The sequence below is a fragment of the Homo sapiens genome, chromosome 14 (genome assembly GCF_000001405.40).
Source record: "Homo sapiens chromosome 14, GRCh38.p14 Primary Assembly".
In the NCBI taxonomy this organism is placed as follows: Eukaryota; Metazoa; Chordata; class Mammalia; order Primates; family Hominidae; genus Homo; species Homo sapiens.
The window spans coordinates 18,962,453-18,987,904 of record NC_000014.9 but is presented as its reverse complement, the minus strand read 5'-3'; the positions used below and the strand labels follow the sequence as shown (position 1 = coordinate 18,987,904).

At 40.6% G+C, this 25,452-nt stretch overlaps 1 protein-coding gene, 1 long non-coding RNA gene and 1 pseudogene across 2 annotated transcripts in view, besides 1 other annotated feature; 1 reads left to right on the top strand and 2 right to left on the bottom strand.

Moving 5' to 3' along the window:
• Positions 1 to 20,471, bottom strand: part of POTEM (POTE ankyrin domain family member M) — a 36,319-nt gene extending 15,848 nt beyond the window's left edge. Inside the window, exons 1-8 of the mRNA NM_001145442.1 lie at positions 19,899 to 20,471; positions 15,031 to 15,145; positions 14,698 to 14,871; positions 11,750 to 11,856; positions 10,302 to 10,439; positions 7,761 to 7,831; positions 2,424 to 2,494; positions 692 to 736 (exon numbers count right to left, since the gene is read on the bottom strand). Of these exons, the coding sequence (NP_001138914.1) occupies positions 692 to 736; positions 2,424 to 2,494; positions 7,761 to 7,831; positions 10,302 to 10,439; positions 11,750 to 11,856; positions 14,698 to 14,871; positions 15,031 to 15,145; positions 19,899 to 20,419 (1,242 nt within the window). The 5' untranslated portion in view covers positions 20,420 to 20,471. The remainder of the gene's footprint in view (positions 1 to 691; positions 737 to 2,423; positions 2,495 to 7,760; positions 7,832 to 10,301; positions 10,440 to 11,749; positions 11,857 to 14,697; positions 14,872 to 15,030; positions 15,146 to 19,898) is intronic.
• LOC100508046 (uncharacterized) lies at positions 7,112 to 11,157 on the top strand. Its single transcript, NR_110505.1, has 2 exons — positions 7,112 to 7,557; positions 9,035 to 11,157. It is a non-coding gene; the product is annotated as an uncharacterized LOC100508046 (long non-coding RNA).
• On the bottom strand, positions 8,952 to 9,058 carry RNU6-1239P (RNA, U6 small nuclear 1239, pseudogene; annotated as a pseudogene).
• Positions 9,929 to 10,430: an enhancer, noted in NCBI's record as "NANOG hESC enhancer chr14:20009730-20010231 (GRCh37/hg19 assembly coordinates)". NCBI's record gives its function as "activates a minimal SCP1, AML or CMV promoter by ChIP-STARR-seq in primed H9 embryonic stem cells {active_cell/tissue: H9 hESC(primed)}" and the evidence as "EXISTENCE:reporter gene assay evidence [ECO:0000049][PMID:30033119]".
• Positions 20,472 to 25,452: the final 4,981 nt, after the last annotated feature.

Here is a 25,452-nt window from a genome sequence, read left to right as displayed (position 1 = left end):
ATAAATAAAAAGACAAAGATGAAAAATGTGTCTTCATCCCTCTTTACCACCTAGATTTTACATTAAACAGTCATTTTAGAGGATGAGACACCGTGGGGCTTCAGGAATAGAACGGAAGATGGCCCTTTTCTGCACTAAGATATTCTTCTCCCCCACTGCCTTTGAGCATTCTTTTTTCATTAGGTTCCTAGGATATCAAAAACACGAAGGTGCTCACTGAAACATGGGAACCAAAGTTTCCCACAACATAAGGAGCAGAGTGAAACTGCAGAGGTACAATCATGGAATTCCAGAAAATGAGTTGCTCCCCAAATTTCACATTCGATAGCCATAAAATTTTCTAGCTGGAAAATACACAGAATAAAAAATTATCTACTTTAGCCACATTTTCTATTGATAATCAGACTAAAACCAAGAAAGATAAAATTATTGATCCAAAGCTCCTAAAGTGGCATTACTTAGCATTTTACGGCACCATTTGGGACTATTCCATAATAATGAAAGAATATCTCTAGGGTTTGCATCTCTTTAAAATTCAATGTATAGAATTCTGAGTTAAGTATTAAATTTTTCACTGATGATTTATGCTACTTACATGATAGGATCACGTATGCCTACACTTACTACACTTTGTTAAACAACATAATGTAAAAATCTAATTCAACGCAAACATTTGAATATAAAAGTATACCTTTCTATCACCACCCTTATTTATTTCTGGTTCTTGAGACATTTCCTGCAGATGCAAAAACAGAAGGTTAATTTGCTTGTTGTATTTCTGTGATGTCTCCTCTTTTGGAGCACATGTTTTTAAAATAATTTTATTCTTAAGTAATCAAGTATGGACAATAAAAATTAGAAAATAATTAAAATTAAACTTAAAAAATAAATAATAATTAAAATTAAGATTAACTTTTTAATCTATGTTTAGCTACCGCCACATCACTGGCTTCTAACATGTGAAAAATAATTCACCTTAGCCAAAGGGAGAAGAAAAACATGAACCAGCAAACTTAACTTGGTCACTATTTGTTCGGACTAAACTTAATTTGTTATGTGTTAAATCTACCAAAAATGAATCAGCAGATCATTTGTAGTGTTGCAAAACCTTCCTCACTTGAAAAGAGTTTACCTCATGAAACCCTAACTAGTGAGCCCCTACAGTGCACTGAAGTGCTTTTTCAAAAGATTCCTAACTGGATTGTAGGCACACTTTAAATTATTAGGAGCCGAAATCAACACCAAACAGAAAGAGATGCAAATTCTTACATTTTAATTGAAATTATATACTGTAATATGATAGTGTTATGTATCTAGATTATCTGCTTAAGTCCAGTTCTAATATATTCTAATATGTACTAATGACAGTAGATAAAAATTTTAATCTGTCCTGATTTTCTGCAACTGAAATAAATTAGAATGTTATTGTGTTTGTGCACTAACACCAAAGGTCCCATTCTGCAAGATATGATTCCTTTAATAGGCAGTTGGGTTGCTTTTTTGACCTGGTTCCCTCCCTGAACAGAAACACTGAGGTCAATGAGAGACCACAAGGCAGAATATATCTTTAACCTTAGTATCAGTGACTGACAATATAAAACTGCAGATTTTCAATCACTGGCCATGATTACTCTTTAACCATGAATCCAGCTCAGGGACCATCAGTGTTACATTGTTCATAATTCTATTGCTTAATAATATAATCCAATAATTGATGTTACATTCTTCATCATGTTAGGGTGTTGTAAAAATAAAAGAACAAAGTTCTGAAATTTGTTTTTGCCTCTATTCCAAAAGGAAAGATTAGCTATAAGCTAATCAAGAAGGCAGATAAGAATATTTTAAAATAAGAGTATTTTAAATTTCATAGTGGGTTATGTTGAAGTTAAATATCAAATATTAAATTAGAACCTATTGATTCTTTTAATAAGGTTGCTGAATTTATTACAATAAATTTTAAGAATCTATTAAAATATTTTTTTTTTTTTTTTTTTTTTTTTTGACACAGAGTCTTGCTCTGTCACCCAGGCTGGAGCGTAGTGGCAGATCTCGGCTCACTGCAAGCTCCACCCCCCAGGTTCATGGCATTCTCCTGCCTCAGCCTCCTGAGTAGCTGAGACTACAGGTGCCCACCACCACACCCGGCTAAGTTTTTGTATTTTTAGTAGAGACGGGGTTTCATCATCTTAGCCAGGATGGTCTCGATCTCCTGACCTCATGATCCGCCCACCTCAGCCTCTCAAAGTGCTGAGATTACAGGCATGAGCCACCCCCCCAGCCAAAAGATTCTTAAAAAAAGAATCTATTGATTCTCAAAGCCTAGTCTCAAAGGTAATTTCATTTGGACTATCTAATATTATTAAAGCAAAAAAAAAAAAAAAAAAAACGTTAAACCAAAAGTTTAAATTTAAGAGTTTCCATGCCTCTGGCTGGCTATTTTCACTTCCTTTAAGCCTTTGTGACTCTTCCTCTGATGTCAGCTTTAAGTCTTGTTCTGTTGAAAAATCCATATATTCAGTTAAAATCAACCACTTACAACAGTTAAAAACTATTGCCTTTTAAAAACAGATTTAAGACATTTCATTTTATTTCATAAATTGAGTGTTTAATCTTTCATGAAATTGTCATTTACGAAATAATTCTCAAAAACTTCAAAAAACCACTTGGGGAGACATCAGATGTCACCAGATTGAAGACATACACACATGTTAAAAATTCCCTCATAAATTCATCCACCCAACATAAATGAACAAAACCACCATAAACACAGCTTTAAAATACAGTAGAAACAATAAAGTGACACAGTATATTGTTCTCCACTTCCTAATAGTACCTTATAAATGATTTCCAAAATCACTGCTGACACCTTTATTACTGTACAACATTTTCCTAATATCTAAAATGTTTCCCTCCATAATTCTGACAAATTTATTTTAATTTTTTTTTTTTTTTTTAATGAGCCAGGGTCTTGCTCTGTCACCAGGCTGGAATGAAGTGGTGCGATCAGCTCACTGCAACCTCTGACTCCCTGGTTCAAGCGATTCTCCTGCCTCAGTCTCCTGAGTAGCTGTGATTACAGGCAAGCACCACCACACCCAGCTAATTTTTGTATTTTTAGTAGAGATGGGGTTTCACCATTGGACAGGATGGTCTCAATCTCCTGACCTCATTATCCGCCCACCTCAGCCTCCAAAGTGCTGGGATTACAGGCATGAGCCACCACACCCAGCCTTATTTTCATCTTTTGAAACAATTCTATGTGAAGTCTTCCTTGATTCTGCATGTCTTTCCCCAAATAAACAGGTATCTCCTTCCTTGAGGCTGCCTTAGTATTTTACTGATTTTTCTACGGCATCTTTACCCGCTAAGCTGTACATTATTTCTCCATATGTCTGTCCCCTCTGCTCCAAAACTGCAGGGGAGAGTCTTGCACATCATCTTTGTAAAAACAGTCTTTGTTTTACTCAGAAAATTTGTATTGAGTCCTGCTACATACATGCTAGGCATTAGGGTCTAAAAAGAATGAAAATAAAGCATCTCAGGGATGGCTTTTCTAGAACACATGCCCAAGCAGAGACTTAAATATTGAGGCTGGCCAGATTAAAAGGGGTAGAGGGCAGGAAAGGGTGACAGCATGGCCGGCAGCAGCAAGAGCGGGAGCGAGGCCTGAAAGAATGAAAGTATTTGCCTACAACAGAAGGATGAGTGAGTAGGGCACTACCAGCAGCTCAGTAATGCCAGAGAAAGGGCACACAGGGAAAAGGGCTAAAGATGGAGAGTGGGGCAGAAGTCAGATTATGAAAGCCTCATGTGTAATTTTAAGATGCTTGGACATTAATGTTCAAGAGTGGTCCCTGGTCCTATCTGCATTTAGATATAGATCACTTTAAATGCCAAAACCAATATTTGTAGTGAACCATTATTCATTAAGACAAGGTGACTGATAATTCATGTGGACACAACTGAAATGATACTATGTAGCGAATTCTCAATAATTCTCATGAACACTTGGAAAGTCAATTCTATAATAAAGTCATACAAATTATAATAAATCAGTAAAGATTTGGTTTGGGAAGATGCTTTGTAAAGTTATAGTGCATATGAATACAACTAAGAGTCGTGAATTCAGAGCTGTGACAATAAAGCAAAGAAATTACATTGTGTTTGAGTCAGCAATCTTTAGATTTCTATCCAGTCTTCCCATCCAGTCCATAAATTCTAAGTATAATCCTGGTACTCACTCTCAAGTTTACGTTAAATACTATCCCATACAAAAACCACTCTTTCTCTTGTTTTCATTATTTATATGTTGCCTTGTTTAAAGGAAGAACACAAAAATGCCCTGCTAAAGGGATTCTGTTTGGCTGCAGGCAGCAAGAGGGAAAAACACAGAGCATATTTTGCAGAAAATGATTTATTAGAAGTCAGAACTATGACACGAAGCCAAGCAGGGCACTCTAGGACTGAATTTGCTGTGCTGCCTTCATACGCTCCTTGCTCTTTCTTTTCTGGCAGCCGTGACTCACACAGCTCATGGAGAGTATCATTCCCTAAGAGGAACAACTCCGATATTCATCTTTATCTATTAAGTTCATCTGTCCCAATTCTGTGTTCTGTGGATGCTGACTTTCGGTCATGGATGGTGATACACATGGACATTTATCATCCACTTTCAGATTCTTGGATCTTTGACAAGTCTTATTAGTGAGAGTCAGACTACTAGGATGCAAGTTACAAATGCTGATTATCCAATTACCTACTCAAAATATCCTACACGAATATTCCATTAAACATGCATAGAAAAACATTAGTCATTCCTGCTGACCTGCTGTTCTTTGCTCTTCTGTATTCACCAGAAAATTTCCTACTCCTTCCTCACGTCTAGGTTAAATACTAGTGTACAACCTGGAAACCTGTACATCATCTGAGATTTCTCTCTGTCCCCCAAGCCTTTCTCATTCAATTATCACTAAATCATATTGACGATACCTCTCTTCTGCCTCCATTTTGTATTCCCACTGCCACTGGGAACATGAACATTTACAAAATGGCTTTTATTAAAAAAAAAACTGCCAACAATTAATGTTATTTCTTACGGGAAAAAAATTAAGCTAAACAAATGAAAAAAGCATAACACCAAAAAAAAAAAAAAACAAAAACAAAGGCCAACATATTAAAACGAGTAATTGAGATTCCTAACTTTATTTATTTCACTATGGACAGGTGAAAACCTTGTAATACATTGATGCTACTCCAAGGATGTATGACAAGGAAACCATAGCTGACTACTGCAAAAGCTTCCTTTGTCTCCTGGTTTCTTTACATAGTAAAGAACCTTCCATCAATCCCAGCAAACTATAGGCTACAGACTAAATCCAATCTGCATTATGGCATTGTGAGTAAAGTTTTATAGGAGCTCAGTCATGCCTGTTTGCTTACATATAATTCTGGTGGCTTTCACACTACAACAGCAGACAACAGCAGGGTTAAGAAGACATGACAGAGACCACATAGTCTAAAATATTTCCCACCTAGTCCTTTACAGAAAAAGCTTTCTAACCCGTTTTACACCATAACCAGAAGCCTTAATACTCAAATTTAATCTTGTGACTCCCCTGCTCAAATTTCTCCAATGAGCCCCTGCAGCACACATTGTTGGCTCCCTATCAATAGCCATTCCTTATTCTTTCTTGCAGAAGAAACACAAGTCTATTGGGATATTTATTATCCCAATCCCCCTCCTCAGCCTCAGAAAGAGAAATGTTTATTCTAAGCTAATCATGTATTTTCCTTCCCAGTGCCTGGTTTGGGAATGAGCAGGTACTCTGACCTAGCCAATGAAATATTACAGGAAGCCCTTGCATGCTTCTAAGTTTTCTCCCAGTTACGTGAATAAAACACTGCCAACAGCACAGCTGAAAGAGGGACAAGTGGGATCCTAGGATATCAATGAACAAACAAAACAACTCTGGTTCCTACTGTTTTAGCCACCGCTCATCTAGTATTTGCAGTCCAAAGCATTCTACCTGGTAAACTTCCCATGGCCCATGGGGTAAAACCTACTCATTTCTGTAGTATTAAAAAGTCTATCATGAACTTGCCTTAGCTAAGTATTCACCTCATTCCCAACCTCTCGTATCTCACACTTTTGGTATTAGCAAAAGTGAATTGCTCAGAATCCCTGCAAAGTTCACTCAAGCATCTTGTCTTTTGCACTTGCTGCTCTTTCTGCCAAACAGGCAATCTCATTAGATGTTCCTTCTGGCAAACACACAACCTCGTTGCATGTTCCTTCTGCCAAACATTATTCTTCTGCTTCTTTACCTAGAAAAATTCTTCTCTCTCTGCATGCTTACCTTAAATCATACCTACTTTTTTCCAAAATTTTCATTCCTCATCACATATGTCTGGCACATAATCAATATATAATAAATCATAATTATAAGCTTCCAGTGGGCATCTAGCACACAGTAAGCACTGAATAAAGTAGTAAAATAATGAAAATGACAATGATAATAACAAGCTCCTGTCTCTACTTTTAATTGTTTGTGCTCTGTAGCATTAGAAAAAATGGCTAGTATCTAAAAGACATTTGATAGTTATCTGTTAAGTGGACAAGTGAAAATAGAAATGTTTTCTTTGTAAATTCTGTTGAAAAAGCACAGAAATGAAATGGAGACAGCTCTATTATGAGCACCTTAAAGATGAAAACTACATCTATTCCATTTTTGTCTCCTGCAACTTATAAAACCTAACTTACAGAAGCTCTTTGATAAATAGATGGCTAAATTAAAGGTGTCCTCATACAGTTTGGACTATACAATGTATTAGGTGTCTACAATCAGGTAGCATACTAGCATTTTTGTTAGTGTGAAACATTTTTCTACTTTTATGATAATCTGCTGAGCCTAGAGTTGGGCAATTTGCATATTTATTATGACACTCTTTTGGCAAATGGTAGCAGAGCATCTTGTTCTAACAAAATTACTGTTATCATGACAATTAACCAGCAGGTAGAAGAACACATCTTGTTCCAAAAAAGTCAATATATCTCTTTCCAACTTCAAATGAGGAGGAATGAAGTCAGTAATAGTGAGACCTTATTGGGACAAGCATGTGTAACATGACCTGTGCTTCAGTGTTCTTTTGTGATCAAAAATTCCTTACTTTTAGTTTTTTATCTATGGTAGAACCACCCAGAGCAGGGGTCCTCAACTCCCAGGCCACAGACTCATACCAGTCCACGGACTATTATGAACCACACCACACAGGAGGAGGTGAGCACTAGGCAAGCCAAGGAAGCTTCACCTGTACTTACAGCCACACGCCATGGCTCATATTACAGCCTGAACTCTGCCTCCACTCAGATCAGTGATAACATTAGAAACTCATTGGAGCACGAACCCTGTTGTGAACTGCCTATCCGAAGGATCTAGGTTGTGTGCTTCGTATGAGAATCTAATGCCAGATGATCTATCATTGTCTCACTTTGCCCCCAGATAAGACCATCTAGTTGCAGAAAAATAAGCTCAGAGCTTCCACTGATTCTACATTATGGTAAGTTGTATAATTATTTCATTATATATTACAATGTAATAATAATATAAAATAGCACAATAAATGTAACATGATTGAATAATTCTGAAACCATCCCCACCTTTCCCCAGCCCATGGAAAGATTGTCTTCCACAAAACCGGTCCCTGGTGCCAAAAAGGTTGGGGAAAACTAACCTAAAGTAATTCACTGTTATAAGTCTTACCTGGATTGCTGTTTTCAGAAGAGACTTTTAGTATCTGTTTTTCTTTGTAGTCAGAAAGTAACTGGCAAATTCTATGTATAAAATTGTAATAAACCAAATTACTATTTTAATACTGATATAAAAAATACTTACCAAATGTGAAATTCTTAACAGTATTTCAAACAATATCAGAATATCAGAACTTAACAGTATTATCCCATCCACTTATGAGTACATTCTGCAAACTTCTCTTTAAGCTTCTAATTAAAGAAGAAAAAAATGTAGGGTGAAATACTCATAAATCGAGGGCATGTGACCCAGTAAATTAGGTTGCATTAACCTGACATAATAGAAAGTGTCCCAACTCTGCATAAGTCCTAGCTCCATAATGAACAGCTATTTGTTCTTGGACAACTTGCTTCTCTTAGGCTCAATGTCTTCTTCAACAAAGTGAGGACTTTGCTGCCTTATTTCCCTAGGTTCCGATAAAAATTTAATGAGATCACATTTTTTAAATGCTGAGAGAAATAGTAAAGCAATGGAATAATCTCTTCCTAAACTTTATGACTAAAATTATCTTGGAATCACAAATAAAACCCAATGCGTATTTTGTTCATAGGTTCTAATATGCAAATGTTGTAGTTTTCAGAAAATGTTATTAAGTCCTAATTTTGCCTCTTAGTTGTCCTACTCTTTATGGCTTATATTTCAGGGCATCTCAACTATGTCATAGTTTGTAACTAAATGTATTCCTAAATATCTCATTAAAGTAGATAATGTGATTGTCCACTATTACGGAGTTGATCAATCACACCAAGGGCAGAAAAACCAATGGATGTTAAGACCTGGTTTGGACCAATGAGCCTTCTCTACAGACTCAAACTCTGAGCCCGCAGATGTTGGTTACAATGATGCTTTATATTGATGTTCAATTCCGGCTGACATGGGAGACCAAAAGTCTACTTTTATTTTTTTTAGTTTCCATGAAGAAGTAGCAAGCTGACATTCTGTCATTTTCGACATACATACTAACAATATATTTTGCACCAAACATGTTATTCAGCTCTAAGTCATCTCATAGACCATCTTACATGACTATTTTTGCAGCGCAAATCACAATTTCAATATTTGGGTGGCACCCATTTCGCTTTGATTCACACTGTTTCCTTAGAGCTAGTCAGCAAATAGTCAAATGACCTTCCAGTGACTGCACAAAATATGGAATGCTTCAAAGATCTGTGCTGCCTCCTTATGCAGAAGCCACGCTAACTTTCTCCGTATTGTTCTAATTTTAGGATATGTGCCGCCGAAGCAAGCACAAAGCCCTACTTTTACACATGCCTAGTGATGCTTCATGGACAAGGCTTGGCTCTGTTGAGTCCAACTAACCTACCTGAGATTCTGAGATTTCTCTTCAATGGCTTCCTGTGAGCTAGAGTTTGAAAATATCTTAAAATCTTGAGCTAGAGATGGAAGTAGCTTGGACGATTTTCATTATCATGTAAATCGGGTCACTCAAGGGGCCAACCACAGCTGGGAGCCACTGCTCAGGGGAAGGTTCATATGGGACTTTCTACTGCCCAAGGTTCTATACAGGATATAAAGGTGCCTCACAGTATAGATCTGGTAGCAAAGAAGAAGAAACAAACACTGATCTCTTTCTGCCACCCCTCTGACCCTTTGGAACTCCTCTGACCCTTTAGAACAAGCCTACCTAATATCTGCTAGAGAAAAGACCAACAACGGCCTCAAAGGATCTCTTACCATGAAGGTCTCAGCTAATTCTTGGCTAAGATGTGGGTTCCACATTAGGTTCTGAATATGGGGGGAAGGGTCAATTTGCTCATTTTGTGTGTGGATAAAGTCAGGATGCCCAGGGGCCAGAGCAGGGGGCTGCTGCTTTGGGAACAATGGCTGAGCATATAACCATAGGTATGGGAACAAAAAACATCAAAGTCACTGTATCAATTGCCATGAAGACTCGAGGGACCTGAATCTACCGATTCATCTTAAGGCAGCAGGACCAGTTTGAGTGGCAACAATGCAGCAGCAGAATCAATGGAAACAACAGAATGATTGCAATGTCCTTTTTTTTCTCCTCCTTCTGACTTGATAAAAGGGACCGTCTTCCTTGGATTTAGTGAACCCCTTTGGTTCCTGAAAAATTCAAGGAGTATCTAGGACATAGTCCCCAGAAGACAGTACAAGACTTTCTGATAAACTGGACATTTCAAGACCCAAATAACTAATCAGAAAAATCAAAGATGTGATACTATTTTTTATCCCATGCATAGGTGCTACACTTGGATCAAATGAACAATGTTGGGATCTCTATGGATAAAGGTCTTAAAAGTCCTGAGATAAAGAATCCTGCACCCACTGGTACTTCTAACTTGTCTTGTTTTTTGTCTGATTTCTGGCTGATGCAGGGGACTAACTCACTGCCACGCGAAAACTACCTGAACTGAACTATGACATCTCACCTGATATGTAAGATGTAACTGTTATAATTATTTTAAACCTCAATTTAGCATTAACTAGCCTTTTAATGTAAACACTTACACATTATGACGACTAGAAACAGCATACTCTCTGGCCGTCTGTCCAGATAGATCTTGAGAAGATACATCAATGTTTTGCTCAAGTAGAAGGCTGACTATACTTGCCGATCCACAACATACAGCAAGTATGAGAACAGTTCTAAAATGACAGAGATAGGAACAGTAATAAAGTTATTTTAAAAGCTAATTTGATATACTTTACCAATTTAACATCTTGCCTGTCCGTGCAGAATCAAACATTTACATGCACTAAAAGACATAAGCATCTTCAGTGCTCAAGTGTTCATCTTTGTAAAATACCACCAAGGTTGAAAGGAAGGGACAAAAAAAAAAAAAACCCTCTTATCTCAGTGGGGTATTGCATAGCAGAAGCTACTAATTTAAAGTCCTTTGATGGACAAGAAACAATATTAGGGCCACTTATCTGAAATGAACAAAGATTTAAGTGAAGATTTCATCACAGCTTCCCTAGACTGATATGCTGTAATAGAAAATCAGCTAGGGGGTAAAATAAATAAGAGCTCTCTGCATGCTGAAAGCAAGTAAGATTAATAATAATGGTAAGAATAGTAGTCACAGGAGTTTCAGTTAATGATGCCAATAAGCATGTGCTAGGCACTGAATTAAATGCCACATATATCTTTCTTATGCACAGCAAACTTTGAAGGATATATTCTCCTACTTTTCATATATGACAACATATTTGGTGGTAAATAACGTTCCCAAGGTCACACACCTAGCAAGTAAGAAAGTTAGGAATTAAAACCAGTATTGTGTGAATCTAAAGCCTAACTTTTTTCTCTTTATCACACCACTACGGCTTGTCTTCATTAAAGGAAAAGTGTATCCACTTAAAACTATCTTCACTCCCTCTCTCCATACCAATTAAAAATAAAAACATCAAAATACACTGGAAATAAAAAAGGAAAAAAGCTGTTGAACCCACAGTACGTGGGAACAGCAATTAATTGTCATGCAGGGATAAGCTAACATTAATATTCTTCAAAGAAAGCAACTTAAGGCAGAATCATTGAAAAGACAAAAGGATTTTCAACCCCTATTTATGGTTAATACAGCGTATTTAGTGGAAAAGCATGTAAGACACAGGTTAAAAACTATTAGAAAGGGTTAAGAAGTTCAATACTGAGTCATAAAGTAAACTAAAATTAAAGTTCAAACTTCATAAAATATGAAATCCCTTTAGCTAACATAAGATCATATAACCAAAAACATTACATAGCAAATAACATCAGTCAATATAATAAAAGATGAATCCTACTAAAACTTTTATGTTGCCCAGTCCAAATAATTGTTTTTCTACCGAACTGATTTGTGTTCATACTGATCACTATATCCCAATAAGTATACATTAATCTTATTAATTTAATATTTATGACTTGAGTGACTGCTATCCATCTAGAACACACAGATTAAAAGAAAGAACTATACCTTCCATATCTATCCAGTGCATTTAAATTTGCTTTTTTCTTGATTAAGAATTTCACCACTTGCTGTTTTTGCTCATGTACACCAAGTAACAGTGGTGTGAGGCCATGCTGTAAAACAATATAAAGCAAAAACGTATGTAATTCAAAAAAGTACATATTCCTCAACCGAAGTGGAAACTTTATATAAGATCTTATGGACTTACATGCATAGAAAGTAAATAAAATGTAGTCGCTTCCTTCTCACTCTTCTGTGCTTTCCCACACGCTGCTCCTTCCCTTGGAAACACCCCTTCTCTGCCTCACCACAGTAACTCTACTCATCTCAAAAACTCACTTTAAACATTTACTGCTTCCAAGGCTCTTTGCTTCTAACCCAGCATTTGATATGGTATTATTGGATGGTAATATTTTTCCCATCTAAACAAAGAGCTCCTTGAGGGCAGGGGTTGTATCTTTTGTTTCTATATCCTCAACCCTAAGATAAATTGCGTATAAAGCAAGAATTTGCATGTAAAATATTTCTTTAGTTTCATGTTTTACTGAAAGTTCAACCTCCAACATGCAACAAAAATTGCTATTAAAACTCACACTGCCCATCTGAAAAAATTTTCCAACATTTATTTATTTAAAATCTATTTATATTTAATTTTCCCAGATTGTTACTAAATAATCAGTTCATAGGACTACTGAAACTAAATTAACAGAATTCCTATCTGCATTCTTAATAACTCCATGGTTTTAAGTGTGTAAAACTGCCATGCTGATTATGCCAAAGCTCTACATACTTAAAGAGACACACTGGACAGTCCACAATACAGCTTCAATTGATAAAAAACAGTTTAGAATTTGCTTAATTCCAATTGATAAAACTCTGCTCTTAATGACTTACTGACCTAAGCACTTGAATGACTGAACAAAGAGACAAAAAATCCTGAGAGGGCCATCCTCTACTTATTGAAAGACTGCTCACAGCAAACTACTAAAGACCTTCTGAATGGCAGTGAATAACTGATGGTAGAAAGGAAAATATATTATTCTGTAACCTGATATGTAACCTGATAGATACTACCAATAATATTCATTTTAATGTCTCAACCACAGAGATAAAAGTCAGACTAGGCCAGGAATGGTGGCTCACACCTGTAATCCTAGCACTTTGGGAGGCTGAGGGGGATGAATTGCTTGAGCCCAGGAGTTCAAGACCAGCCTGAGAAACATGGCAAAAACCTCATCTCTACTAAAAAAAAATAAAAATAAAAATAAAAATAAAAAGAAAGAAAGAAAAAAAAAACTGAGGTTGAGGTTGGAGGACCATCTGAGCTTCGGGAGGTCGAGGTTGCAGTGAGCTGTGATCACACCACTGCACTCCAGCCTGGGAAACAGAGTGAGACTCAATCTAAAAAAAAAAAAAAAAGTCAGATTAATGTTATTGGAAAGGAAAGATTTAAAGAAATCAGCACATATCCAACTCCAACTCTTCTAGAGATACCTTAAGTTTCTGAGATATAAGAATTTATATATTACATTTATGTATTCAGTGGTTCTTAAGCAGGAGTGTATCCAGATTTTGAGAAAATTGTTGCTGTTGTTATTGTTGCTGTCGTTGTTAGAGACAGGGGCTCATTATGTTGACAAGGCTAGACTCGAACACCTGAGCTCAAGCAATCCTCCCACCTCAGCCTCCCTAACAGTTGGGACTACAGCCATGCACCAACATGCCTGGCTTCAAGGAAACATTTTTAAATATACATATCCAAGCTTTATTAGACTTACTGTATCAAAATCTTCAGGAATAAGCCTAGACTTGTTGATTATTTAAAAATTTTCCTCAGGTTACTGGGATGCACAATTCTAGCTGAAAGCTAGTACAATAGACAATTACTTCAGTCTCATTTCTCACCACCCACATAACCAATTCCCTTTCTTATTTGAAGATTTGGCCAAAAAGAGTAAAGAGTAGGAGAGAGACCCATTTGCTGAAAACACCACATAATTTTTCCCGGTAACACAACAGGATCTAGTCAACTCAAAATCCAGCTTGATCTTGTTACTCATTTATCTTCCACCTTCCCATCCAGACACTCTAGATTTGAAAGCAGAGCTGAGGCTCTAATTGGCCACTTCTACCAGAAGAGGATACTAAGTCAGTTAATTACTTGATATTCCCCCTGCTCAAGGGTTTCCCCTTACATTACCCACCTATTCACTGCCAATCTGGTTCCTCAGAGGCCTCCTAAAATTCATCTCTAGGCAGTTTACAACCCACTAACTCCCTCTCCCAAACTGAAAACTGTCATTCTCTAAAATCAAAGAGAACTTTGTCTCACCATACAAAGGAAATAAATAAATGAACAACAACAACAACACCACACACACACAACCTCTTCATGGTCTTTTCCCTCTATTGCCTAATTTCCAAATTGGCCCTGATATTTCTGACTGCTCTCTTTTTCCCTTTCCACTTCTGCCTCATGAGCAATCAGAAATATCTTAAGCCTTGCCACTGAGAGGTGCATCACCTCGTATCTATTACTGTTTTTTAGGAACTTGCCAAAGAAGCAGGATCTCTATTCACTGAGACATGTTTAAGTTTTCTTGGAGTTTTCATGTAAAACCTATTTCAGGGCAAATTTTGCCATTTTACATTCATTAGGGGAAAAGAATCCTAGGAGGGAAAAACTGAAAAATAGTAAGTATTACCTTTTACAAATTCAGTGTTTTCAAAAAAAAGTATTTACCGCAAGTGCATTAAAAAAAAAAACTGTACCCTCTAATGCTTCTTTGAAAGTAACAATATTTAAAATAAAATCTTAGATAATTAGGTCATTTCAAAATATTTTCATTCAGGTTATGCTTGAGCTTCCAAATATGGAAAACTGGCCCTTACACAGGTCAATGTTAACACGAATGCATTTCAGTATTTTGAAGATAAAATTGGTAGATCTATACCTTGTTTTTTGATTCGATATCAGCACCGTATAAGAGCAGTGCTTTGGCCATTAATTTATCTTCATTGTAGATAGCATAGTGTAGAGCGGTATTTCCATACTCATCTGGAATATTCGGATCAGTGCCATGTTCCAGCAACATTAACGCACATTCATCTTCCTGGCATTGTACGGCCTGTCAGTATTACACCATAAACAAATTACAAATCCTAGGATTTCAAAATAACATTCCACAGCTTTCACCAACTAGTTATATTTAAAGGAGAAAACTCATTTTTATGCTATGTATTGAAATCAAACCCACTTCACGCTGACATAGTTGGCTACTGCATACCTTTGTCAGAGCTGTCCTCTTTTTGTTGTCAAGGATATTAAGTTGACATCGTCTGTCCAGCAGGAGTTTTACTACTTCTGAATTTCCATTGGCAGAGGCCAGATGTAGAGCAGTCCTATGAGGGTGAGAAGACTTTTTAGGAAATTGTAGTGCACTAGCTACAGCCATATCAATGATACACATAATCGCAAACACTGAATAGCCTGCTATTACTGTGCCTTCAAAACAAACATTTAACTTTCCCATGAAAAAAGCACACGATTTATTATCTCTCATTACTCGCTGTATTAATGAAAGAGCAGCCTATATGAATACAAAGAGCATAGCCCTTGGATGACATTCAACTTGGGCTGGAATCCTACTTGAAGCTCTGTCACTTTCTGGCTGTTGCTTAGCCTTTTGGGGTCTCAGTTTCCTCATCAATAAAATAGGAATGAAAATAGTAGCTTTCTCACAGGAAACCACTGTAATGCTTAAATGAGACTCGGCACAAAAGATACAGAATAGTTCCTAACACAAATAACAGCTCAATAATTGTTAGATATTATGATTTTTACTAATACCACTAAAGACAACATTTGAATTAAGTGAGATGATACAATTATACCTACACTTTCAGGTGTGTTTTAAATATTACAGCTAACATTGTATTTTAGTGATTCTGAGATGATCATTGTCTCCATGTTGTCTCCACTGAAATACCACTTACAATTCATGATTTACTATAATTGGCGGCATTTAAATAATTCTCTTATTGAGACATAAAATAATGGGGCATCGTACAATCTCTGGTGCCTTACATTAAGTAGAATATGTTATAATGTAACAGGTCTGGGGCGGTTCCAGTCAGATGACCAGCATTTAAATTTTAGTTCTTAAAAGTACTATGGAATAAGAGAGCTGAAGTGAAAACAAAAACAAATTTCTAAAATAAACCAATTCTTACTTTGGTTTTCAATAAACTTTAAGCCAAACAAAACTTGGAATTGAAATGAATAGCATGGGCTCATTTTTTTCAATACTTAGATTTATACAATGTATGTACATCAGATATTTCCAATCATTCATATTAGGATTTAAGACTGTTATAAATTTTCTCTTTTTAAAATGGATTTATGAAACTATTTGTGGAGCTTTTTTCAACTTTTACATTCAGGGGTACATGTGCGGGATGTGCAGGTTTGTTACATAGGTAAACGTGCACCAACGGGGTTGGTTGTACAGATTATTTCATTACCCAGGTGTTAAGCCCAGTACCCGTTCATTCTATTTCCTGCTTCTTTCCCTCCTCCCACCCTCCACCCTCTGATAGGCCCCAGTGTGTGTTGCTTCCCTCTAGGTATCTGTGTGTTGACATCATTTAGCTCCCACCTATAAGTGAGAACATACAGTATTTGGTTTTCTCTTCCTATGTTAGTTTGCTAAGGATAATGGCTTTCAACACCATCCATGTTCCTGCAAAGGACAGGCTCTCGTTCCTTCTTTTATGGCTGCATAGTATTCCATGCTGTTTATGTACCACATTTTAGTTCTTAAAACAACTAAAACAGTCTTTATCCAAGACTTATACATTTTCAAAAGGGCAGTTAAGGGTTGTCTTTTACTATTTTCTACCTTCAGAAATGCTTCTGTTTGAAAGGAGGGAGGAGAAGCTTCAATTGAGATTAAGTCCTAATGCCCCAATTTTAAATCTCTCAGCTTGCTCAAGCCCAGCAGGCAAACATAAATGTTTTCAAAGATGGAAGGATCCTGAGAGATAGTAGAATATGCCTGCCCCATAATAGGTGTCTGGCTTATGTCTGATGACTAAACGGATTGAAAACAATGGATGAACACAGCTTGGGAGTTCAATATTTTTAAAGAAAACTCCTGTAGAGTAGGGCAATACATTTGCAATAGTAATATCATTTATATTTGCTATTTTAATTTTCATAAATATATAACTCAACTAAAATGATTAATTCATACTTTTTACATGTTAATCTATATATAATGAAAAGGTAATTATGTAATAAAATCTATATACAATAAAATCTACAAGAACAGGTAAACACAATCCCTCTACTTCTGAAGAGGGTAAAAGTTCACAGTAGATAGCCAACCACAGAAATAAAAATAAATAATAGAATGTGAGAAATTATTTGCATCTATGCAAGAAGCATATTCCTTCTCTTCCCAAGGATTATGTCATTACTAATGAACCTAAACTAAAAGTTCAGATGTTCATTGCAGAAATCACAGATAAAAGGAAAAACTTCATTTACAAATCCCCAGAAACAAGTTTGATTATATTTTCTACATATTTTCAGCTAACACAAGAGCAGATTCTGTTCGTGTATATGTGTAACAAACTGATTTTTCTTCTCACTTGCTATAGCAAAGTACATCTTTGCATGTCGACATATCTCTATGTACTGACACCCTCAATAGTTACATATTATTCCGTCCTATGGATGCACTGAAATTTGTTCATGAAATCTTTATATGGGCTTTTCTAAATACACTGCTATTTTAAGCAATACTAAGAAAAACAGACATCTATTTGGTGAAGATATTTCAGTATAATGGAACTGATGAGGAAAAAGCATAACATTTTTAAAATGTGGTTCTTACCACTAAAGTGCCTGTTTGAAAAGCTGCAGCAACTTAAACTTTAAACAACTATATAAGTACCACTGTTATTCATCCTCACAAACTTTGTGGATAGAAAACAGTATTTCATTCCTTTTGTTTGTTTGTTTTTTAGATGGGGTCTCACTCTGTCACCCATGCCGGAATGTAGTGGCACGATCTCGGCTCACTGCAACCTCCACCTCCCTGGTTCAAGCAATTCTCTTGCTTCAGCCTCCTGAGTAGCTGGGATTACAGGTGCATGCTACCATGCCCAGCTAATTCTTTGTATTTTCAGTAGAGATAGGATTTCACCACACTGGCCAGGCTGGTCTCAAACTCCTGACTTCATGATCCACCTGCCTCAGCCTCCTAAAGTGCTGGGGTAACAGGCGTAAGCCACTGCACCTGGCCTTTCATTCCTCCTCTAACTTAAATAGAAAACAGTATTTCATTCCTCTTCTAATTTAAATTCCTTCTTCTACCAGGAATGCTATCTTTTCCTATGCACATAGGTCACTGGTAGATATGCAAAAAAGTACTTTGCCCAATTTTAAAATGTGCTTATTTTATTGCATATATAGGCCAGGCATGGTGGCTCACGCCTGTAACCACAGCACTTTGGGAGGCCAAGGTGGGTGGATCACGAGGACAGGAGTTCAAGACCAGCCTGGCCAAGATGGTGAAACCCCATCTCTACTAAAAATACAAAACAATTAGCCAGGCGTGGTGGCAGGCGCCTGTAATCCCAGCTACTCAGTAGGCTGAAGCAGAGAATTGCTTGAACCTATGAGGCAGAGGTTGCAGTGAGCCGAGATCGCACCACTGCACTCCAGCCTGGGCAACAGAGTGAGACTCCATCAAAAAAAAAAAAGAAATTTTGTGTATATATATATATATATATATACACATGTATATATATGTATATACGTATATATATATATATACATATATATACGTATATACATATATATACATGTGTATATATATCTGCATATGTAAATAGGCACTTGTGTTTTCTTCTGGTATGTTTCTCTTTTTGTATATTTAAAATTTTTAATCTATACTCTGATTTTTGTGATATAAACATCTAGCTAGTTTTCTCCAAAAATGAATTATGAACAATCCATCTTTTTTAAATAATACAAAACGTCACCATTATCAAGCGCTAAATTCCTACATATATTTCGGTATTTCTAAATTTCCTGTTCTGTTTTATTCATTGATGTCTTTTCAGCTGTTAGTAAACAATTTGTGGAAATAAATAACATGCACATTTTGACATCTGGAAAAGCAAGCCTTTGTCCATTCTGCTACAAAAAAATTAACTTAGCACAATAATAAAAGACAGCATGTGTAATTTAAAAACTCTAAAACTGCTATTTTTATTTGGCTTAAGTAAAAGTGATAAATAGAAAAAGCTCACTTTTTTTTTTTTTTTTGAGACGGAGTCTTGCTCTGTCTCCCAGGCTGGAGTACAGTGGCGTGATCTCGGCTCACTGCAAGCTCCGCCTCCCGGGTTCACGCCATTCTCCTGCCTCAGCCTCCTGAGTAGCTGGGACTACAGGTGCCTGCCACCGCGTCCAGCTAATTTTTTTTATATTTTTTAGTAGAGACGGGGTTTCACCGTGTTAGCCAGGATGGTCTCGATCTCCTGATCCCATGATCTGCCCTCCTCAGCCTCCCAAAGTGCTGGGATTACAGGTGTGAGCCACCACGCCCAGCCAAAAAGCTCACATCTTCAGAAAATTCAATCTTCCTATTCAAGCACAAGAACCATCTTCCCATTTCAGTTTCCTTCTAAGATTACTCAGTAAAGAACATATTTACATAGTGTACATTGATATAAAATCCATACTGGATTTTATTTGAAGAATATTTAGCCCTGAAGTTGATGTGTTATGGGGCTTCATTCTTAGTTCTCAATATACACTTTTTTAACGTATAGAACATTGTTTTAAAATCTGTACATTAAAAATAATCTGCTGCATCGACAATGTTGCGAGTTAAATCACTTCAAAACAGTCTATTAGTGTTCTAGGAGGGAAATTATAATTTGATTGGAAATCAGCTAAAGTTTTGTTTTTGTGTTGCTGCTCATAAAGGGGCCTGTGCCCTGAACTCTCTGAGGTTTCCACATCCAGGGTGGTGTGAGGCCTGCGGAGGCGAGAAAACCAGGCTCCCCTCCTCCCCCGCCAGGAGGGTATGTCCCCATCATCCTCCCACATCCCACCTCCTCCCAGCCCAGGCCTGGTTACCTCTTTTGCTTGTCCTTCTTGTTCATGTCAGTGTCCTTGAGCATGACGATGAGATCCTTTCTGGGGACTTTACCCCACCAGGCAGCTCTGTGGAGCTTGTCCAGATCTTCTCGACGGACGTGGTACCTCGGCTCCATGAAAGCGCTGTCGTCGTAGTCTCCCCAGGGGCCCACTTTGCTCTTGCCGCTCCCCCTGCAGCAGGGGAAGCAGTGGCAGCACCACTTGCCCATCTTGCTCCTGAGTGTCTTCATAGCAGAGTCGTCGTGGTCTCCAGAAGTGCCCACGTTGCTCTTGCCGCTCCCCCTGCACCAGGGGAAGCAGTGGCGGCACCACTTGCCCATCTTGCTCCTGAGTGTCTTCATAGCAGAATCATCGTGGTCTCCAGAAGTGCCCACGTTGCTCTTGCCGCTCCCCCTGCACCAGGGGAAGCAGTGGCGGCACCACTTGCCCATCTTGCTTCTGAGACCAAATGGCTTCTTCACAGAGGAGGCAGCCGGCATTGAACCAGCCTCAGCCACCATCTGCTTTTAACAGCCAGGGGAGGCCGGTAGTAGCCAGCAGATCGCGTCTACCAACCAGTTTCACCAACTAGCAGATAACTCCGGGTTTCTAATCTGTTTGAAGAGAAAAGTCCCGACCAAAACCTGCCAACCCCAGCAGGGGAGCCCAGCCCACCCCACCCAGGGAAAACCCACACCCACCTGGGGAAAGCCCACACCCACGCTGGGCGACCCCACGCCCACCCCAGGAAGGGCCAACCCCACCCCCCAAGAAAACACCCGGCCCACCCAAGGGAATGCCAAACCCAGAAGAGAAAAGGTCAAGTCCAGCGGAGTAACGTGACAGAAAAAACGTCAGTCCAAGGAAGGAATGTCTATCCCAGCAGTCACGCTGCCAAGCCAAGCAAAGGTCGCAGAGCCAAGTCTAGCTGCTACAGGCCAGCCAAGCCGTTACGCACGTGCAGTGTGCGCATGCCGAGTGTTACAGGCCAGCCAAGCCGTTAACGCGCGTGCAGCATGCGCGTGCAAGCCATTACAGGCCAGCCAAGCCATTACGCACGTGCGGCATGCGCGTGCAAGCAGTTACAGGCCAGCCAAACCGTTATACGCGTGCGGCGTGCGCGCGCGGCATGCACGTGCAAGCCGTTACAAGCCAGCCAAGCCACTGCCGCGCGTGCGGCGTGCGCGTGCGGCGTGCGCGTGCGGCGTGCGCGTGCGGCGTGCGCGTGCGGCGTGCGCGTGCGGCGTGCGCGTGCGGCGTGCGGCGTGCGGCGTGCGCGTGCGGCGTGCGGCGTGCGCATCTCTGGTGGTGTCAGTACACGTGGCACAGACAGTGGCCGATGCGTGCAACCTGCATAAGCCTTGGAACCACGAATGTCACTGACAGCCTGGTGTTTCCCGGCAAACTTCCTGGGAGTCAGCCTAGCTTTCAGGCCATTGAGAAGCCTCTGGTGAAAGAAAAAGCTTCTTGAAGCAGGACTGGGGCTAAGTGGCTGGAACTTGAGGATGCTGACAGCCTCCTCTGAAGAAAGCCCCCAGGACACTCCTGGTGGTGCTGTTGTGCATGGCCGCTGCTGCAGCTCAGAGCACCGGCTGGCGGAGCTGGCTGCAAATGGCCTCAAAATCACGGAGCATGTTCTCACTCACAGGTGGGAATGGAACGAGAACACACGGACACAGGAAGGGGAACATCACACACCGGGGACTGTTGTGTGGGGGGAGGGGGGAGGGATAGCATTAGGAGATATACCTAATGCTAAATGACGAGTTAATGGGTGCAGCACACCAACATGGCACATGTATACATATGTAACAAACCTGCACGTTATGCACATGTACCCTAAAACTTAAAGTATAATAATAATAAAATTTGAAAAAAAATCATGGAGCACAAGACGCCCACTGAGCCCAGCACCTGCCTGAGGTGCCTTCGATACCTGCTCCTCTTTGCTCCACACCCAGAACACGAGGCCATCAGCGAGGGGGCATTTGGGGCCACAGGATCGCAGCCAGCTCCTGCCCCGGTGCCCCCTGCCTGTCCAAGCCAGGGCCAACATCTGTGGGGCTTCTGGCCTGGGGGGCTCTGCTCCACTGGCATGCAATAGGGTCAAGGTGCAGGCCGCTGTGTCCAGGCCAGCAAGAGGGGGCTTGGAGGAGCACCTACCACTGATGGGGAGATGCAGAAAGGCAACCCCACGTGCAGATCCTGAGAACAAGACACTGAGCCTCCCTGGTGCTGGCCTCTGAGCTGGACCAGGGCAGTGGCACCTCAATGCTCCTGCCAGGACTCTCCTGCTGCAAAGCTTTATGCAGCCAGGCTCCAGTCTGCTTCACCCACACCACAGGTGCTTTGGTGTGGGAGGAAAAATGGATTCTGAGCCTGGACACCAACCTGCTCTTACCAAAAGAAGTAGAGGAAAAGCCAATCACAAGTGCAAAAAAAAAAAAAAGGTACTATTTTGTAACTGAAATCTTGCCTGATATGCAGGGTTAAGCTAAAGCTCCTCTTGCTTGATACTAAATTAAATTTTGAATGAAACAAAAAGAAGACACACACACTAAATTTCCTTGTTCCTCTGTGACCCCCTGAGCCAGGAAGCAAGAGAAAGCCTGGCCTCCTGGACTCTCTCCCCAGCTGGGGGGCTGAGCAATTTCCTCCAGGCTCACAGGGAGCAGCTGGGCTCAGTGGGGCCACGTTGCCCTTCCTTCCTACATGGGCATCCTCAAACCTTCCATTGCCCCATACAGAGTACCATGATCCGGGTTCAAATCCCAGCTCCGGCACTCGCCACCTGTGTCACCTGGCAAATGCCTTACCCCCAGACGCTTGCTGTCTGTGTCCTTCCTGACAGGAGGGATGGGAGCTGGTGGCCCTGGCATGAGGTGCTGTAACAGTCAAACACAAGCAGGAGCAGGTAGACACCTGGGTGGGGGACTGCCCTGCTGGGGGTGCTCACCAAAGAGTACCTACCCATCTGCCCACGTGGCCTTGCACATCTCAACACTTATCAGGCACCTGACTATGGGAAATCCCTAAACAAAGCCCTGAGCTGCCCTGGGGAATGTGACCAGGGCAATGCACCAGGAAGGACAGTCTGGGGTGCTTGGCATGAGTAAGGATAGGCTGGGGAAATGCCAACCTCTTCCCACCAGCTTTGTGTCCCAGGGCACCCTCAGTGGACAGAGAACCCAGAGATGCCACAAGGCTTGAGCTGCATCCTAACCATCCTGAGTTCCGGCCCAGCCATGGTCCAGGCCCGAAGGTACCTTGGGTGCTAAGTTGGGATGATGAGGGGCCAGGTGAGACACTCCTGTGTTCCAGGATCTGGTCAAGAAGGTGGTAGCCTGTCACTGCCTGGCTCCATCTGGTCCCAGTGGAACAAGAAGGGCAGGAAGCCTCTAGCACCCACCCTCTGGGCCACCAACACCCAGGTCCACAGTGTGGCCACCTGACTCAGCATCACCTGCCTTGGGGACCAGAACATGAAGGCCCAGATATGACGAGCATAGTGCAGCAATGGATGCAGGTGGGCAAGATGTGATGTGTGGATCCAAGGAGCCCCTCTCTGGAGGCTTGGGCATAACCTCTCCATCTTACTGACACATAATATTTTACCTCTTTGTAGGGTACATACAAATACTTGTTACATGCATAAAATGTGTATTCTGGTTACTTTGAATATTTACACATAATAATATTACTTAGCCACCACAGCCTGCTGTCAAACATTACAGCCTATTTCTTCTAAATGTAGGTTTGTACCCAATAGCCAACTTCTCTTCATTCTCCCTTCCACATACCCAGTCTTCCCAGCCTCTGGTACTGCCATTGTATTCTCTTTGTCCATGGGATCAAGTTTCTTTAGCTCCCACGTGAGTGAGAACCTACACAACTCCAGAATCGTTATTAAAATCAGGAATTATTGTTATTATTTTTTGAGACGGGCTGTCACCCAGGCTGGAATGCAGTGGTGCAATCTTGTCTAACTGCAGCCTCAACCTCCCAGGTTCAAGCAATCCTCCCACCTCAGCCTTCTGAGTGGCTGGGACTACAGGGGCGTGCTACCATGACTGGCCAAGTTCTGTATTTTTGGTAGAGATAAGGGGTCTCACCATGTTGCCCAGGCTGGTCTCCCACTCCCAGTCTCAAGTGATCCTCCTGCCTCAGGCTCCCAAAGTGCTAGGATTACAGGCCTGAGCCACCATACCTGGCCTGATCCCAGTTTTAGAAAAACTCTGTAACTAAATTTAGATGAAAATATATGAATCTGTCCAGTGATTGCTTTCCCATTTTCTAAACTGTGCTTTTTTTATATCATCGAGAATCTTCCATAAATGTACTTTGGTTTGAAATATTTTCTTGAAGTCAGACATATTTAGCTGTGACGTGGAACAGTTCTTCTCACAGCATCCCCTCCCTGCAAACTGCAGGTCCTGAGGTCAGTGGCCCTTGACTCTATGGACTCTATGTTCTTCCCTGGATCCAGACCCTAACTCAGGGGACAGCGGCACCGCCTCCTGCCCGGCTCTCGGCTGCCTGCACTGCTCGTCATGGTGACAGGATGGCCTGCCCCAGATGAGTGTCAGTGTGTGTGTGTGTGTGTGTGTGTGTGTGTGTGCTTTTGCTGCATTTCTTCTGTCTTGCTTTTGTCATGTCTCTTTCTCCCTTTCCTCCCTGAGGCCTGCACAGGGCAGCTGTGCTATCCACTTCTGAATGTGGGGTAAGCTGTGGCCCAGGCCTGGGTGCCTGCTGGGACCTCCCAGGAGATGTGTGGGAGCAGACAGCAGGTGGGCTCAGACACTCTAATGGGCACTTGTGCCTTGTTCTGTCCCTGTCATTTGAGGCCATTTTGGCCAATGGGAAAGCAGACCCCTCTGGCAGAAAAAGGTCCACTTTGACTCAGGCTGGGGTGGTAACTCTGCCTGCAGGTTGGACCTGTGGGTCTCATCGTGAACCCCCACGGGTGACTGGCACTGGGAGAAGTAGAGGACGTGTGGGTTCTGCCTGCTGTCTTCACGTGTGGAGACAGGGTCCTGCCAACCGGTCTCCTGGAGGGGGCGTTGCCTCCTGTGGGTGCCATGTGTGCCAGAATCCAAGCATGGGTGTACACAGGGGCTGAGCCCACTCACAACCCAGGACAAAGTTGCTTGGCTGTTTTGGGGCTGGGAGATCTCGAAAAGCCTACCAAACCCAGCATCATCAGTGGCTCTCCCACACTCAATGCCTTGGTCTTTCTGCTTTTTTGGCCGTCACATTGGCACATTTCTTGGTGCCACCAAAACAACTCAAAATAATCTTTTCAGTCATGCCTGAATAACATAACCGGCTTCAGGTTTCCTGAAAACAGAGAAAGTGAAAATCCAGAAAAAATGGCTGTTTTCTTCCTCTGACGGTCCAGCCTGTCTTCAACCACAGGACTCCACGCTGGCCTGGGGTCTGAGTCTCCTGCATTAGTCACTGTCTAGCTTTGACCAAAACCATGAGCAACTGAAGCAGAATATGAACGTGGAAAATGTTCTGGGTTGTCCCCATGTTGGGAAATTATTGTCCAACA